The 13,388-nt window shown below is 50.7% G+C and overlaps 1 protein-coding gene across 58 annotated transcripts in view, besides 5 other annotated features; it reads left to right on the top strand.

Annotated features, from left to right (window-relative positions):
- SEMA4D (semaphorin 4D) overlaps window positions 1-13,388 on the top strand; it is a 137,327-nt gene that overhangs the window by 90,585 nt on the left and 33,354 nt on the right. For 56 of the 58 annotated variants that reach the window (NR_163886.1, NR_163889.1, NR_163884.1 and 53 more), the window contains 4 exons: window positions 1,830-2,178; window positions 4,513-4,658; window positions 8,191-8,253; window positions 10,694-10,792. Coding sequence is in view for 52 of the 58 variants with exons in the window: in XM_047422627.1 (XP_047278583.1) it covers window positions 2,073-2,178; window positions 4,513-4,658; window positions 8,191-8,253; window positions 10,694-10,792 (414 nt within the window). In the remaining 6 variants the exon portion in view is untranslated. Of the gene's footprint in view, window positions 1-1,507; window positions 1,735-1,829; window positions 2,179-4,512; window positions 4,659-8,190; window positions 8,254-10,693; window positions 10,793-13,388 lie in introns of those variants that run through there. The other 2 variants (XM_011518134.3, XM_047422633.1) reach the window with 1 other exon arrangement.
- Window positions 485-1,305: an enhancer, noted in NCBI's record as "H3K27ac-H3K4me1 hESC enhancer chr9:92021139-92021959 (GRCh37/hg19 assembly coordinates)". NCBI's record gives its function as "activates a minimal SCP1, AML or CMV promoter by ChIP-STARR-seq in naive H9 embryonic stem cells {active_cell/tissue: H9 hESC(naive)}" and the evidence as "EXISTENCE:reporter gene assay evidence [ECO:0000049][PMID:30033119]".
- Window positions 837-936: an enhancer, noted in NCBI's record as "active region_28534". NCBI's record gives its function as "activates an Ori minimal core promoter by ATAC-STARR-seq in GM12878 lymphoblastoid cells {active_cell/tissue: GM12878}" and the evidence as "EXISTENCE:reporter gene assay evidence [ECO:0000049][PMID:35858748]".
- Window positions 947-996: an enhancer, noted in NCBI's record as "active region_28533". NCBI's record gives its function as "activates an Ori minimal core promoter by ATAC-STARR-seq in GM12878 lymphoblastoid cells {active_cell/tissue: GM12878}" and the evidence as "EXISTENCE:reporter gene assay evidence [ECO:0000049][PMID:35858748]".
- Window positions 1,306-2,127: an enhancer, noted in NCBI's record as "H3K27ac-H3K4me1 hESC enhancer chr9:92020317-92021138 (GRCh37/hg19 assembly coordinates)". NCBI's record gives its function as "activates a minimal SCP1, AML or CMV promoter by ChIP-STARR-seq in naive H9 embryonic stem cells {active_cell/tissue: H9 hESC(naive)}" and the evidence as "EXISTENCE:reporter gene assay evidence [ECO:0000049][PMID:30033119]".
- Window positions 1,537-1,706: an enhancer, noted in NCBI's record as "active region_28532". NCBI's record gives its function as "activates an Ori minimal core promoter by ATAC-STARR-seq in GM12878 lymphoblastoid cells {active_cell/tissue: GM12878}" and the evidence as "EXISTENCE:reporter gene assay evidence [ECO:0000049][PMID:35858748]".

Here is a 13,388-nt window from a genome sequence, read left to right as displayed (position 1 = left end):
GGTATTTGTTGGTAACAAAAATCTGCAAGCAAGTAATTTAAAGATTTTAATAATTTTATTAGCAAGTCTGCATAGACTCATAGCCTAGGGTCTCATAGGCTCTTGTGGGTTTCACTTGGCCATTCTTAGAATGAGACTTTTATCTTCATGTTGACAGCATGGCTGCCAGAGCTCCAGCCATCACATTCTAGTTCCAGGCAGCAGCAGGAAGAGAAGGACTGAGGGAATTGCTAGCTGAATCAGCCTCCTTTAAAGAGCTTTCCTGGAATTGCCATCTAATAAATTCCACATACAGTTTTTTTGGCCAGAACTCTCACCAGAGAAGCTGGGAGATATAGTGAGCTGGGCACACTGCCAACCCAAGTAACCTCGGAATTTTGTTAGCGAGGGTGCAGGAACATGGATGCTGGGGCAGGAAGCCAGTGATCTCTACCATGGAAGCAAGAGGCCAGGATGAGAGGTGAGCATTGCTCAGATGAGTGATGGTGGTGGAGATGGACAGGAGGAGACAAGCCCCAGATGTGTTTGAGGCTGAGCAGCAGCACCATCTATGGATTGGGGGTGGGGGTGGGGTTAGAGGTAGATGGGGTCGGCCCCTGACTGCTGGTGCTTTTTTTTAGGTGGGGACATGGACTGTAGGAATTGGCTGGAAGCAGAGTGAGGTTCTGTTTCGGCTGTGTCTGGCTGGGTGTGGAAGGCGGCATGTGGAGGTGGTAGGGAGGAGTGGGGTTCTAGAGTCTGGAGCTCAGGGGTGTGGTTGTTCCATGACCCTCACAGGACTCCTGGATAGAAGGGGGAGCAAGGGACTCAGGGATCCCAGGTTGCTGTTTTGAGTGAACTGTTTACAGAAGTGTAATGTGAAAGTGCCCAATCACTGGGTGCCCAGCTCAGGACATTCTCATAGAGTGAACCCAGGGGTGCAGCTGGCCCCAGATCAAGGTGCTAGACGCCCTTGGGCCAGTCCTGTGGCGGGTTACGCTGTGGGGCCCAGCAAAGGTACACCAGGACAGTAGCCATGCAGTCATCAGAGAATGTTGGGGACATGAGAGATGGGGCCAGGAGGCCTGTGCATGCCTCTCCCACCACCAGCCCCACAATTTCACTAAGCAGCATTAAGCCTGTTCTTTTACTAAGGGCTGTTTCTTACTGGGCAAATCAGAGTGAGTTACCACCATTTCTATGGTGCACAGACTTCTTTAAGTGAGACTGGAAGAGCTAGCAGGGTCCCATTTGGGGCAGGAGGTCAGACACTCCTGCGTGGTGAGGCCTCACGTGCGTGTGTTTCTACAGGTGTACATCCGTGCATGTGTGTGTGTACATATGTGTGCGCATATGTTGTGTGTGTGCATGTGTGTGCACTCACATGTACATCTTAGCTCTCTCTGCAGCCTCTGGTTTTTCTGGCCGTTTCCTCGCTGAGCGTTACAAAGGCAGAGTCTCTAAGGGAAACTGAAACCCGAGTTCTCTTCCTTCATTTTCATCTCATTACCAGCTGGACACAGCAGCCACACAGGAAGGAAGCTGGGCAGCCAGCCGGCCATGTGTGTCTGCCGGGTGCCCCACACCAGGTCCTCTCCATGTGTCTGTCCTGTGTTCTGGGCTGGTAGCTGGAGGAGCGGGAAGCACTGACTCCTGAAGACCCTGGCTTCGCTTTCCTGTGTCCGTTGGGCTGTCCACTTCTAAGACTCTCTTTGTCCCCCGCTGCCTTCCGTATTCCTCAGCAGATGGACCCGGGTGAGGATCCAGGGCAAGCAGAGGGGCTACAGAGCAGTGAGAAGCAGGTCATCACTCACCATGGGTCCTGCCTTTTCTTTCTCATGTCCTTCCAGCATTTCTTCTGAGGCCCTGAAGAAGTATCAAGTGGGCTTTGACATTGCGGTGGTGAGAGCGACCCCTCCTCACCTGGAGAACTGGGAAATGTGGATTCTCAGGGACCGCGCTGTTCACGAGCTCCAGGCTGTGCTGCTGGCCCTGGTCCTGGGGCGCTGAGCCGCATCTGCAATAGCACACCTGCCCGGCCACCTGCTGCCGTGAGCCTTTGCTGCTGAAGCCCCTGGGGTCGCCTCTACCTGATGAGGATGTGCACCCCCATTAGGGGGCTGCTCATGGCCCTTGCAGTGATGTTTGGGACAGCGATGGCATTTGCACCCATACCCCGGATCACCTGGGAGCACAGAGGTGAGTGACGAAACCTGCAGGGGTGCTGATGGCCTGGGATGGGGACCTCACTGCCTGGGATGCTGAGGTGGGTGGCTGGGGACGGGACAGGGACCCCACTTCCTGGAATGCTGAGGCGGGTGGCTGGGAACGGGACAGGGACTCCACTTCCTGAGATGCTGAGGTGAGTGGCTGAGGACGGGATGGGGACCCCACTTCCTGGGATGCTGAGGCGGGTGGCTGGGGATGGGATGGGGACCCCACTTCCTGGAATGCTGAGGCGGGTGGCTGGGGACAGGATGGGGACTCCACTTCCTGGGATGCTGAGGCGGGTGGCTGAGGATGGGATGGGGACCCCACTTCCTGGGATGCTGAGGTGAGTGGCTGAGGACGGGACGGGGACCCCACTTCCTGGGATGCTGAGGTGGGTGGCTGGCGATGGGATGGGGACCCCAATTCCTGGGATGCTGAGGCGGGTGACTGGGGATGGGATGGGGACTCCACTTCCTGGGATGCTGAGGCGGGTGGCTGAGGATGGGATGGGGACCCCACTTCCTGGGATGCTGAGGTGAGTGGCTGAGAACGGGACAGGGACCCCACTTCCTGGGATGCTGAGGTGGGTGGCTGAGAATGGGACAGGGACCCCACTTCCTGGGATGCTGCGGTGGGTGGCTGGGGACGGGATGGGGACCCCACTTCCTGGGATGCTGAGGTGAGTGGCTGAGGTCGGGATGGGGACTCCACTTCCTGGGATGCTGAGGCGGGTGGCTGGGGACGGGATGGGGACTCCACTTCCTGGGATGCTGAGGCGGGTGGCTGGGGACGGGACAGGAACTCCACTTCCTGGGATGCTCAGGCAGGTGGCTGAGGATGCTGGCATGTGATCTGTTGGATTCTCTGCTCTGAGAACTTTTGTCTGAGCAGACAGGCCTACTCAGCTGATCTAAGGGAGAGGCTGTGACAACTGTAGATACTCAGCAAGGCTCGTGCAGACCTCCTGATTTGGTTTCTGAATCTGGGGACCCCTGACAGGAAGCTTCCCTCCCTCGTACCTAGTAATGTTCGCGGCGTGCTGCCAAAGCACCCGCCCCACTGAGCGTCTGCTCCAGGCGCCTGAGAAGAACAGTGAGGCATCATAAGAATGCTCGTCCTACGTGCAGCTGAGCCTCATGCCAGCTACTTTCCTTTCCTGCTGTTTAGTTTTTTTTTAGTTATTTCTTCTCTTGGAGGATGTGTCTGGGGACCCGGGTTTCTGACTCAGTGGATTGAGAGCTTACACCCTGGGTCCTGAGCAAGGTGTTGCTTGCAGGTGGCTGAGAGCTGTCAGCAATATAGGCCATTGTTGTGCTGAGAGAGAGGACCTGCTGCCTGTGTGCATCTCTCTTCCACATGGGAAAATTAGAACAGAAAGTATGAACACCTGACTCTCTTTGTTTTTTCTCGAAGTCAGGGTCTGGCTCTGTTGCCCAGGCTAGAGTGCAGTGGGACAATCATAGCTTACTGCAGCCTCAATCTCCTGGACACAAGCAGTCGTCCCACCTTGGCCTCCCAAAGTGCTGGGGTTACAGGCGCCCGCCACCACACCTGGCCCACCTGACTCTTAAATAAAGCAGACTCTTGGTAATATGTAAAAAGCCAAGGTCAAAATGCTCAAATTGTTGTCAGGACAGTTGAAGAAACAGGTCCTAAAAAAAATAATGCTGATACATTTATATTATTCTTAAGCAGCTATTGCTCAAATCTTCATTTTCCTAAGTAGCTATTGATACAGTAACCTAATAAGCAAAGAGACGTCACTTGTTTCTCTGTCTATAAGTTTGTGGTGGTGATCACTGAGAATTGCATTCGTTGATGGATATATTCTCCAAAAGAAATTTTGTGAAGATTTTGAAGTAAAACATTCTTTTCCTGAATAAGAAAATCCTAAGTCATTGTATTCCTGTACACCTAATCTGTGGATGACAAGGCATGTAGACCAGAGTTGGGTGGGCAGAGGGTGGGAGCCATCACAGGAAGCATCTGGCAGAGCAGGGTTTGGGATTCTGGGATCTGAGGGAGCAGGAAGGGATGTCCGACTCACAGCTTCAAAGTGAGCACACTGGCTCCGGGCTTGAGCTCTAGGGCTGTGAGTGGTTCCCATGAGCACACCTGATGGCTACACTGTGGGTCTGGCGTTGACTGAGGCCACCTCCACTGTAGCAGTGCCTGTTGCAGCAACACATGGCCCTCGAGACATGACTGCACCCAGACGTGCTCATTGTCACTGAGACAGGGACCTAGGATGTGCTCAGGTTTAAAAATGCTTCCATCGCTCTTTTCTTCCTCCCACTCTGACCCTGCCCTTGCATCCCACAGAGGTGCACCTGGTGCAGTTTCATGAGCCAGACATCTACAACTACTCAGCCTTGCTGCTGAGCGAGGACAAGGACACCTTGTACATAGGTGCCCGGGAGGCGGTCTTCGCTGTGAACGCACTCAACATCTCCGAGAAGCAGCATGAGGTACGTCCTGGGCTCCCCTGCATGTCCACATAGCCCAGCTTGAGTGGGCAGCCTCTCCTGGCCCCACTGTGGGGCTGGGGGCTGACTTACCTGGAGCCTCCATTCTGTAGCTGTGACCATGCAGCCCCATCTTTGGGTGTCCACCAGCAGTTCACCCGGGGACCACCCTCTTTGCTTTTTTTTTTTTTGAACTTTTTATTATGAAAAAATCTCAAACATACCTATGAGCAGAGACAGCTATGCCATGAGCCCTGTGCCCACTGCAGCTTATGCAAGGCCGGGTGTTCAGTCTTGCCTACAGTACCCTCCACCTCCTGGGGCATTGAGGCAGATCCCGACACCACATTCTTCATCTGGGTATCTCTTACTGGAAAGGGCCCCTTGTCGTGCAAATAATCAAAAATAGCTTCTCCAAAATTTATATCATCATACATTCAGCCAGTGTTCATATTTCACCGACTCTTGTGGATGATGCTTGTTTAGTTGGTTCAAACGTTTAGTTTGAATCAGGTTGCAACCACGCTGTCCCAATCCATTGCAGCTGGTCACCCTGTCCATTCAGTCTCCGCTTCTAGGAGCCAGCCTCGGTTTCCTTCCTGAGAAAGCTACTCTGCACAGCCCATCCCATGTCCCACTCTTCACATTGCTCCTGATTCCTCGGTGTCTTTAAACATTTTAAAAAATCAAACCGAATTTAAAATTTGATTGTAGCTCACTGCAGCCTCAAACTCCTGGGCTCAAGTGATCCTCTTGCCTCAGCCTCCTGAGTAGCTGGGACTGTAAGTATGTGCCACCACACCCAGCCCCACTCATGGTGTCTTTAGCATGCACCTCTGTCTTCACATCCCCAGCTGGGTGTCAGATCCAGGCTCATCCCTCTCAGGGCTGTGAGGCGGGCTTCTCCATGGAGGCAGGTGTTCCTCCTCCTCAGTCTCGGTGGCCTTTGACCAGCGAAGTCTAGATGCTCTTCTCATCAAAGATTGCAAAACGCAATGTTCTGATTCTACCTCTCCTTCTCTACTTGTTAGCTGGAAATCGTATAAAAGGGGAAGTGCCCATCACCAGCTATTTTGGTCCGTAGAGGTCCCATTTCCTTTGGGAAATGCAGAATCGATGCTTGGAATCTTTGCCTTTATTTACCAGTTTTCAGAATAATGAGTTAATGAGTCAGTTTCCCCTCTGAAGGGCAAGAGTGAGTTTTTTGATTGATTTTTAGTGTCACAATGAAGTCATAGATTTAAAGATATTTGCTCTTCTTTGACCCATCACAGTGAAACACCTACCTCATGCTCAAATCGTCGCATCCATGGTCAACAGCAGCCTGTTTGGGTTGGCTCCTGAGACCTCGCGGTGTGGGGTTAGTTTTCTTGCTCTCTGGAATCTGTTCCAGGTTCACGCTGGACATTTTCTGCCCAGATCTCTTTTTGTTTTCATCTCCAGGGTCTAGCTTATTTCTCAATTTCTGTTTGACACATAAATGAGCTCTGAGCATTATGCTCTGAAAACAAGTATTTGGCTGGGTGCTGTGGCTCACGCATGTTATCCTAACACTGTGGGAGGTCGAGGTAGGCGGATTACTTGAGCTCAAGAGTTTGAGACCAGCCTGGGCAACATGGCGAAACCCTTTCTCTACAAAAACTGCAAAAAATAGCCAGGTGTGGTGGCTCAGGTCTTGGGAGTCTGAGGTGCTTGGAAGTCTGAAGTGGGAGGATCACTTGAGCCCAGGAGGTCGAGGCTGCAGTGAGCTGAGATCATGCCACTGCAGTCCAGCCTGGGCAACAGAGCGAGACCCTGTCTCAAAAAAACAAAAACAAAGTATTCAGCACTGTGAGGCACTCTGAGCAGAAAGATGTGGTGGTCTCACCTCACTCAGCTCTTACTCTTCGCGTGTCTGTTAAATTCTCTTCCTCTGAGCGCCTTCCTGACCACACAGGCTCACACTCGGTCTTGGGGGAATTGTGGACAGTGTGTTTGTGCTGGCCCCACAGGTGTTCAGTGAGAGCCAGACATTGCTCTGTTAATGACACCATGGTGGTCCCTCGGGGTTGGGGAGAGGCTTGGGGACCTCTTATACTTAAAAGAAAAAAATAAAGAGACCCCCGCCAAGCATCAGTGAAAATCCCTGCAAACGTGATCAAGAGTCTGTTGAAGTGTACGTTCCCTTGTCCTTATGCATTTCATGCGAGTTGACGAAATCATCTGTACTTTAAATGCTGAAGGAAGTGGCTATTTTAAATGAGACTCTGTTCCGCTTTTGTGTGCCCCTATCAGGACTTCCATTTCTATGAAATGACACTCCCTTAGTACTGTGTCTGCAGCCTGGGTGCTGTTCAGGAACTCACAGAGTTAGTTAGAAACCTAAAGTGGGGTTCCTCTCCTCATACTCTCCCTCCTAGAAGCCCTGTGTGCTTCCTAACCTCTGAGTCCTGACACCTGCTACAAGCCTTTTGGTGGAGAAAAATACATTGTTACTGGTTTCTTTTGCATCAGTTATGGAACATCACAGAGAGAGGGGGCATTTTGGGGAAGGTGAGGCAGAGATAGATATAGAAACCTTCCCTTTTGTCTTATGTTGCTTTCTATTCTGTGGGGGCTTTGGAGGGCAAGGGGCTAAGGCCCCCACCCCCTGGAAGTTTCTGATCACGAATTGTCCCTGGTTTGAAAGAAGAGGTGGTAGGAACATGGATCTTACTAAGATGGTGCCTGAGCTGAGCTGGTGGTGTTAGTTCATCACTTCCTCCTGCTGCCAACATGCAAGTTTAAGGAATCGTAAATCTCCCTTTCTACTGATACAGTGAATATTGTGGCTTTTTTTTTTAAACTGGACTGTAGAGTCACTTTTTTTTTTTTTTTTTTTTTTTTTTGAGACGGAGTCTTACTCTGTTGCCCAGGCACACGAGGCTGGAGTGCAGTGGTGCGATCTCGGCTTACTGCAACCTTCGCCTCCCGGGTTCAAGAGATTCTCCTGCCTCAGCCTCTCGAGTAGCTGGGATTACAGGCGCCCGCCACCACTCCCAGATAATTTTTGTATTTTTAGTAAAGATGGAGTTTCACCATGTTGGCCAGGCTGGTCTGGAACTCCTGACCTCAGGTGATCCGCCTGCCTCAGCCTCCCAAAGTGCTGGGATCACAGGTGTGAGCCACTGCGCCCGGCCTGTAGAGTCACTTTGAATGGATGGAAAAAAGCCCACTTTGATGTTTGAAAATACTTATGGTTTAGGTTTTTGAAAAATAATTTAATTTTCTCCACTTTCACGAGTTTGATTTTTGCTGCTGTTTTATGGTGAGTGATGGAACTTTTGGAGCTGGTCTTCCAGACTCCACTGGTTTCAGGATAAGGATCACAGTGAGGATGTTCATGAAGGCCCCAGGCTGCTCCCCTGCTCTCTGAACCTCCCTTGCAGTCTGAGAATTGATCATCTCAGGAGAAACCTCTAGGCTCTAAACTCTATCATGTGCTTTTAAAATTGTGCATTTTTATACTAGTATCTCTTTAAAAGAATATGCACTGATATGGACTCTATCCCAACAGGTGTATTGGAAGGTCTCAGAAGACAAAAAAGCAAAATGTGCAGAAAAGGGGAAATCAAAACAGGTAAATTTCTTTTGCAAGCTACAAAGAATCCCATTCAAGTATTTCTTGGTTGTTTTAATCTACTGAATGCCAGCATGCCTGCAGTGCAGGCCAGCCTTTTCTCCAGGCTCTGTTCATTCTGCTGGGCTTGGTTTTGTTGTGATGCGTCTTGGAGCTCATCCCTCTATTCCTGAGTATCAGGATTGGGTTTCTCAAAGCAGGTGCCAAACATATTTGGCCTTTGAGAAATACTTTTTTAAAGTTTATATGAATTGAATGTATTCAGATGGCCTGAAACTTTGACTACAGAACACTGGTGAATAGTGAAGCCCACTGGTGAATAGTGCAGAAATTCAGGGTTTGTTCTGCCTCCTTGCACCCAGAGGCCTTAGGCTTGGAGGAGTTGCTAGTCATGCAGTTTTTCTCAACCCCTTCGTTGGACTTGCGACAGAGATGCCCCATTTATTCGGCCTGCTGTGCTCAACCTCTTGCAGGAGGGAGCACATGAGTGAGCAAGTGTGGGATCTGGCCAGCTGTTTTGGGTGCCAGCAGGAGCAGGCTTTGTGTGAGCCCTGAGGGTGGCACCCAGGTTGGGGTGCCTGTGACCCCCGCAGCCCCAGAGGGTGCGTTACAGTGCTCTCTTATCTCTGTTCTCCATGGACAGTGGTGTGTTATAAGCTCAGTGGGCCCCTTTTCTCATTGTGTGGGACAGCTGTCCTCTGCCAGTGAGGGCAAAGGGCCAGTATGACAGCCTTTTTTGGGTACACACACTCAGGGTCCTGAGCTCTTGTCCGGCATCCAAGAAGAATGAGGTTGCATGGACACTTAAAGGATGGTGGAGTCAGAGAATTTTGTTTAGTGTTGGAAGTGGCTCTCAGCGGAGATGGGAGCTTGAGAGGGAACAGGACGAGCAAATAATCTTCCCTGAAGTCTGGCCAGCTCTGGCCGGCTCTTCTCCAAAGTTAAGCCATTTCTCCAAAATCCAGCCATCCCTCTGAAGTCAAGTCACCTCTCTCTAGTCCAGCACCTTCTCTTCTCTATCAACTGAGTCTGGGCTCTTATAGGCACAGGATGAGGGCAGGGTGGGCTGTGGGTAGTTTCGGAAAAGGCAACATCTGATTGTAAAAAGATGTTCAGAAAGAACCAATCGGGAGACGGCGGGCAAACAGGGATAGAAGTTCTCACTCTGGGCTGCGGGTTTTAGGCTTTTTGGCTCACATGTGGGGTTTTGCCAGGGACCTGCCCCTGTCTGCCTAGACTTTCTCTGGCTCCTTTCTCTATCACTGGGACTTTTGGATTCTTGGCACACGTCCGTCCCTTTGGTCCCTCAGGCCCCTCAGTGTGGTACTCATTCAGGGAGCCCTGGGCCGAATACTCATTCCCGTCTGCAGCTCTAGGTTACCCTCATCACCCTCTGAGCCATCATGTCCCTACCTGGCACTGGGCATTCTTCCTCAATGGTGGTCAAGACAAGCTGAGTTAAAGGCAAAAGAAGAAAGAAAACCCAAAGAAGTCTATGCTAAACTTTCTTAGCAAAATGCTAAACACTTGCACTGAAGTCTTTGTCTCTAAATCCAAAGTTAGATTAGGAAATGAGAGGAAAAGCAGGCGGTGCAGTGTAGCTCCGGTTTCCGGGGGTGTGCAGGTGGGTTGGGGTGAATAGTGAATTACTTCCAACCAGTCTAAAAAAGAGAACTCTCCTAATCTGGGATAATTTCAGACTATAGCACATGTAACGCAAGTACTTTTAGCCTAAAATAGTGGGTTCTGAAATGGTATCTTTGTTTTCCTGCTTGGGCCTTTCTGATGCCAAGCCGGGCTCCAGGCTCTCCTAGTGCAGCCACTCCCATGGGGGCTGGACTGGGACCCTGGGTTGGGTAGACCTAGTGTCGCTGTTCCTAGTTCTGTGCAAGTTGGAGGCAGGGTGGGGTCTCCAGAAACAGAGAGGAAATTCTGTAGGGTGGACACTTCTCCAGGCCTGGCAACAGAACAAGTGGTCCACGTACTTAGCAAGAGTAAAATATATTGCTTTCAACAGTGGGTGTCCCAGTAAGATTTGAGGTAAGCATTCATTGAGTTTTTTTTCAGTCACCACATCTTTGCTGAGTATCAATTAGGGACTGAAACAAAATCCTGTTTGGCACCTGAACAGCATGTGGACACTGCAGAGACACAATTACTCAGGCCAGTTTCAGCTTTAGGTTTGCCTAGGGGTGGGGTTGGGGTCTCAGTGAACCTTCCACTGTACGAGAACAGGCCAGTGTGTGAAGAGGAGTTGCAGAGGGTCTAGATGACAAGACAAGGCTGAGAATGCACACATGCCTCGTTGGCCTGGGGCCACCTGTGAGCTGGTGTTGGTGAATGTGGGTCTGTGCCCCTGAGATGAACGGCGTGAGCAGTTTGAATAGTGGAGGGCATCTGGGCTGGACGGTTGCTAATGGTGCATTTCTCTTCCCTGCAGACAGAGTGCCTCAACTACATCCGGGTGCTGCAGCCACTCAGCGCCACTTCCCTTTACGTGTGTGGGACCAACGCATTCCAGCCGGCCTGTGACCACCTGGTAAGGCTGATGGGCACCTCCCTGTGCTCACGCCAGCCTGGTCAGCAGTTAAAGTAGAAGGGGGCTCAAAGCAGACGTAAAGCTGTCTCCACCCTAAAAAAAAATAGGATTTTCTCAGAGCCAGCTGCAGAAAACGGGGGCAGCTTGTGGCCCCTCTGAAAGTCTTGCACAGCTGCTGTCAGGGGCACACAGCCCACTTGGCTCCTCTAAGTTTCGGTGTCCATGGCCAAGGGTGAGGCCTGGGGTGCAGCTCAAGGTGCTGGGAGCCCTTGGTGCTAGTGCAGAGCATGCCATGGAGGGGCGTGCTGGAAAGTACAGACAGCCTGAACATGGCATTGGGGATGTGCTGGGAAGGACAGGTAGCCTGAACATGCTATGGGGTGAGGGGACGTGCTGGAAAGGACAGACAGCCTGGCAGCTCTGGGCATCTGGGTCAGGTGGAAAAGTCAGGACTTGCTCCTGGCTTGTGTGTTCTTGGTTGGTGCATCTGTGCTCTGGCTGTGGGACCCACCCTTCTGGTCGGCTGTGGTGTGCAGCTTGCTCACTGAACCACTCCTGGGTCCACCCACTCAGGGGCAGCAGGTCAAGTGTGCTGAGCACCTTGAGAAGCAAGTCCGGCCTCTGTCCCTCACCGGCTCACATCCTTGACTGCCCAGCCTGGTATCCGGCACCTCCCCCTGTGTGACGGTCCTTTCTATCCAGATAATCTGATGAGCAATGTGATGATCATCAGAGAGGGAGAAGTAGCATTTTAAATAAGTCCATGTGAACATGGAAAATGAAGCACATTTTCTACTGTGTATCCCTGGATTTTAATGAGTCCTGATAAATGTAAAATATGCCACAGTGAAAAGCATCATTTGCTAGAACCCTAAATTAATTGGAATTAAAATATTTTCCAATCTTGAGTCAGAGATAAATGACAAGACAACGTATGGCCTCATTAGAGACTTGATGAGGAAGCCTGGTATTTGCACACAGACGTCTGGGGTGAGATTCATAGTAGGGGTCTACCCAGCTGCCTGTACCACAGATGCTGGCAACGAAACCTGATAGGGGGTGGGGGTGCTTTGGGGATAGTAAGACCCTCAGTCCTCAAAGACAGTCGTTTGTATTTACTTTTGTGCAGAAAGTACGGTTGGACCAGAAACATTTTGCACAACAAAGGATTTTTCTGGCTAAACTCAATCAGAAGCTTAAAGTTCTGTCATTTAAACTTACATTCTGTAGATAGGTTAGCTGTTGAGGTTAGAGGATACTGTATTTGGTTTAAATTTAGACCTATAATTTTTCCTAATTTTTTTTTTTTTTTGAGACGGAGTTTCACTCTTGTTGCCCAGGCTGGAGTACAGTGATGCGATCTCGGCTCACTGCAACCTCCATCTCCTGGGTTCAAGCGATTCTCCTGCCTCAGCCTCCCGAGTAGCTGGATTACAGGCATGTGCCACCACGTCTGGCTAATTTTGTATTTTTAGTAGAGATGGGGTTTCTCCATGTTGGTCAGGCTGGTCTTGAACTCCTGACCTGAGGTGATCCACCCGCCTTGGCCTCCCAAAGTGCTGGTATTACAGGCATGAGCCACCACGCCCCGTCAATTTTTCCTAATATTTTTAATAAAAGTTTTCACAGCTGCAGAAAAGATGTATCACTTGTATATCCTGGCAACCTAGATTGCACAATTGGGAGTGTGTGTGTGCACGTGTCTGTGTGCCTGTGCATGTCTATGTGTCCACATGTGTGTCTGTGTACATATGTGTGCTTGCTGAACTATGACCCGTGACTCCCAAATGCCTTCACAGGCATCTCCTAAGAATAGTAACATTTTCCTATGTAACTTCAGTTTTATCATTATATCTAAGAAAACGTTCAATCATTCCCCAGCATCATCCAGTCTCCAGTCCCCGTTCAGATTTCCCCAACAGCCCCGAAACCTCCTTTCAAGGTATGCTAAATGGTCACATCCAGTGGGGTTCACATTCCCTAACCTAACAGGTGAAGAGCTGTGTGCTGCTTTAACTGGCCTTTCAAGGGTGTCAGCTGCGGCCTTCCACGTGGTCTGAGCCTTCCTGCTCTGCTTCCGAGAGCGTGTTTCCAGCCAGCCTCCTGCAGCAGAGGTGCTGGGTGCCCTTGCCCCGCCGTGGGCCCTGCCTGTCTTCAGCATGCCCAGGCTGTTGGCTGCAAAGTGGCATCCCCACGCGTGTTCTGTGTGCTCTCTGGTTCCCGGCAGGCTCAGCCCCTCTCTCGTCTGTGCTGTCCAGATGGGTTTCTTCTGTCACTTGCTGGATTTTGCCTGTTTTTCTCCTGGATGCCCTTTCTCACTCGTTTGTCCACACTTCTCACATGTTCAGGGATGGAGACACCTCATCTGCCATTCTGTAGGCATTTCCCCCAGTTTGTCACATATTTAACCTTGCCGTATTATTTCCCCATGTGGAACTTTCCAGTTCTCTCTGTGGTTGGATCTGTGCATTGTTTTCCTCATGTGGCTGTGGGCACTCTGGCCAGGTAAAGAGAGGACCCCCAGATGGAAACGCCAGCCCCTGCTCTGTTTTAGTACAGTGCGGTTCTGTTTTTAGTATTCAGATGGTTGATCCAT

The sequence above is a fragment of the Homo sapiens genome, chromosome 9, assembly GCF_000001405.40.
Source record: "Homo sapiens chromosome 9, GRCh38.p14 Primary Assembly".
Taxonomy (NCBI): domain Eukaryota; kingdom Metazoa; phylum Chordata; class Mammalia; order Primates; family Hominidae; genus Homo; species Homo sapiens.
This window is presented reverse-complemented; position numbering and strand designations above follow the sequence as displayed.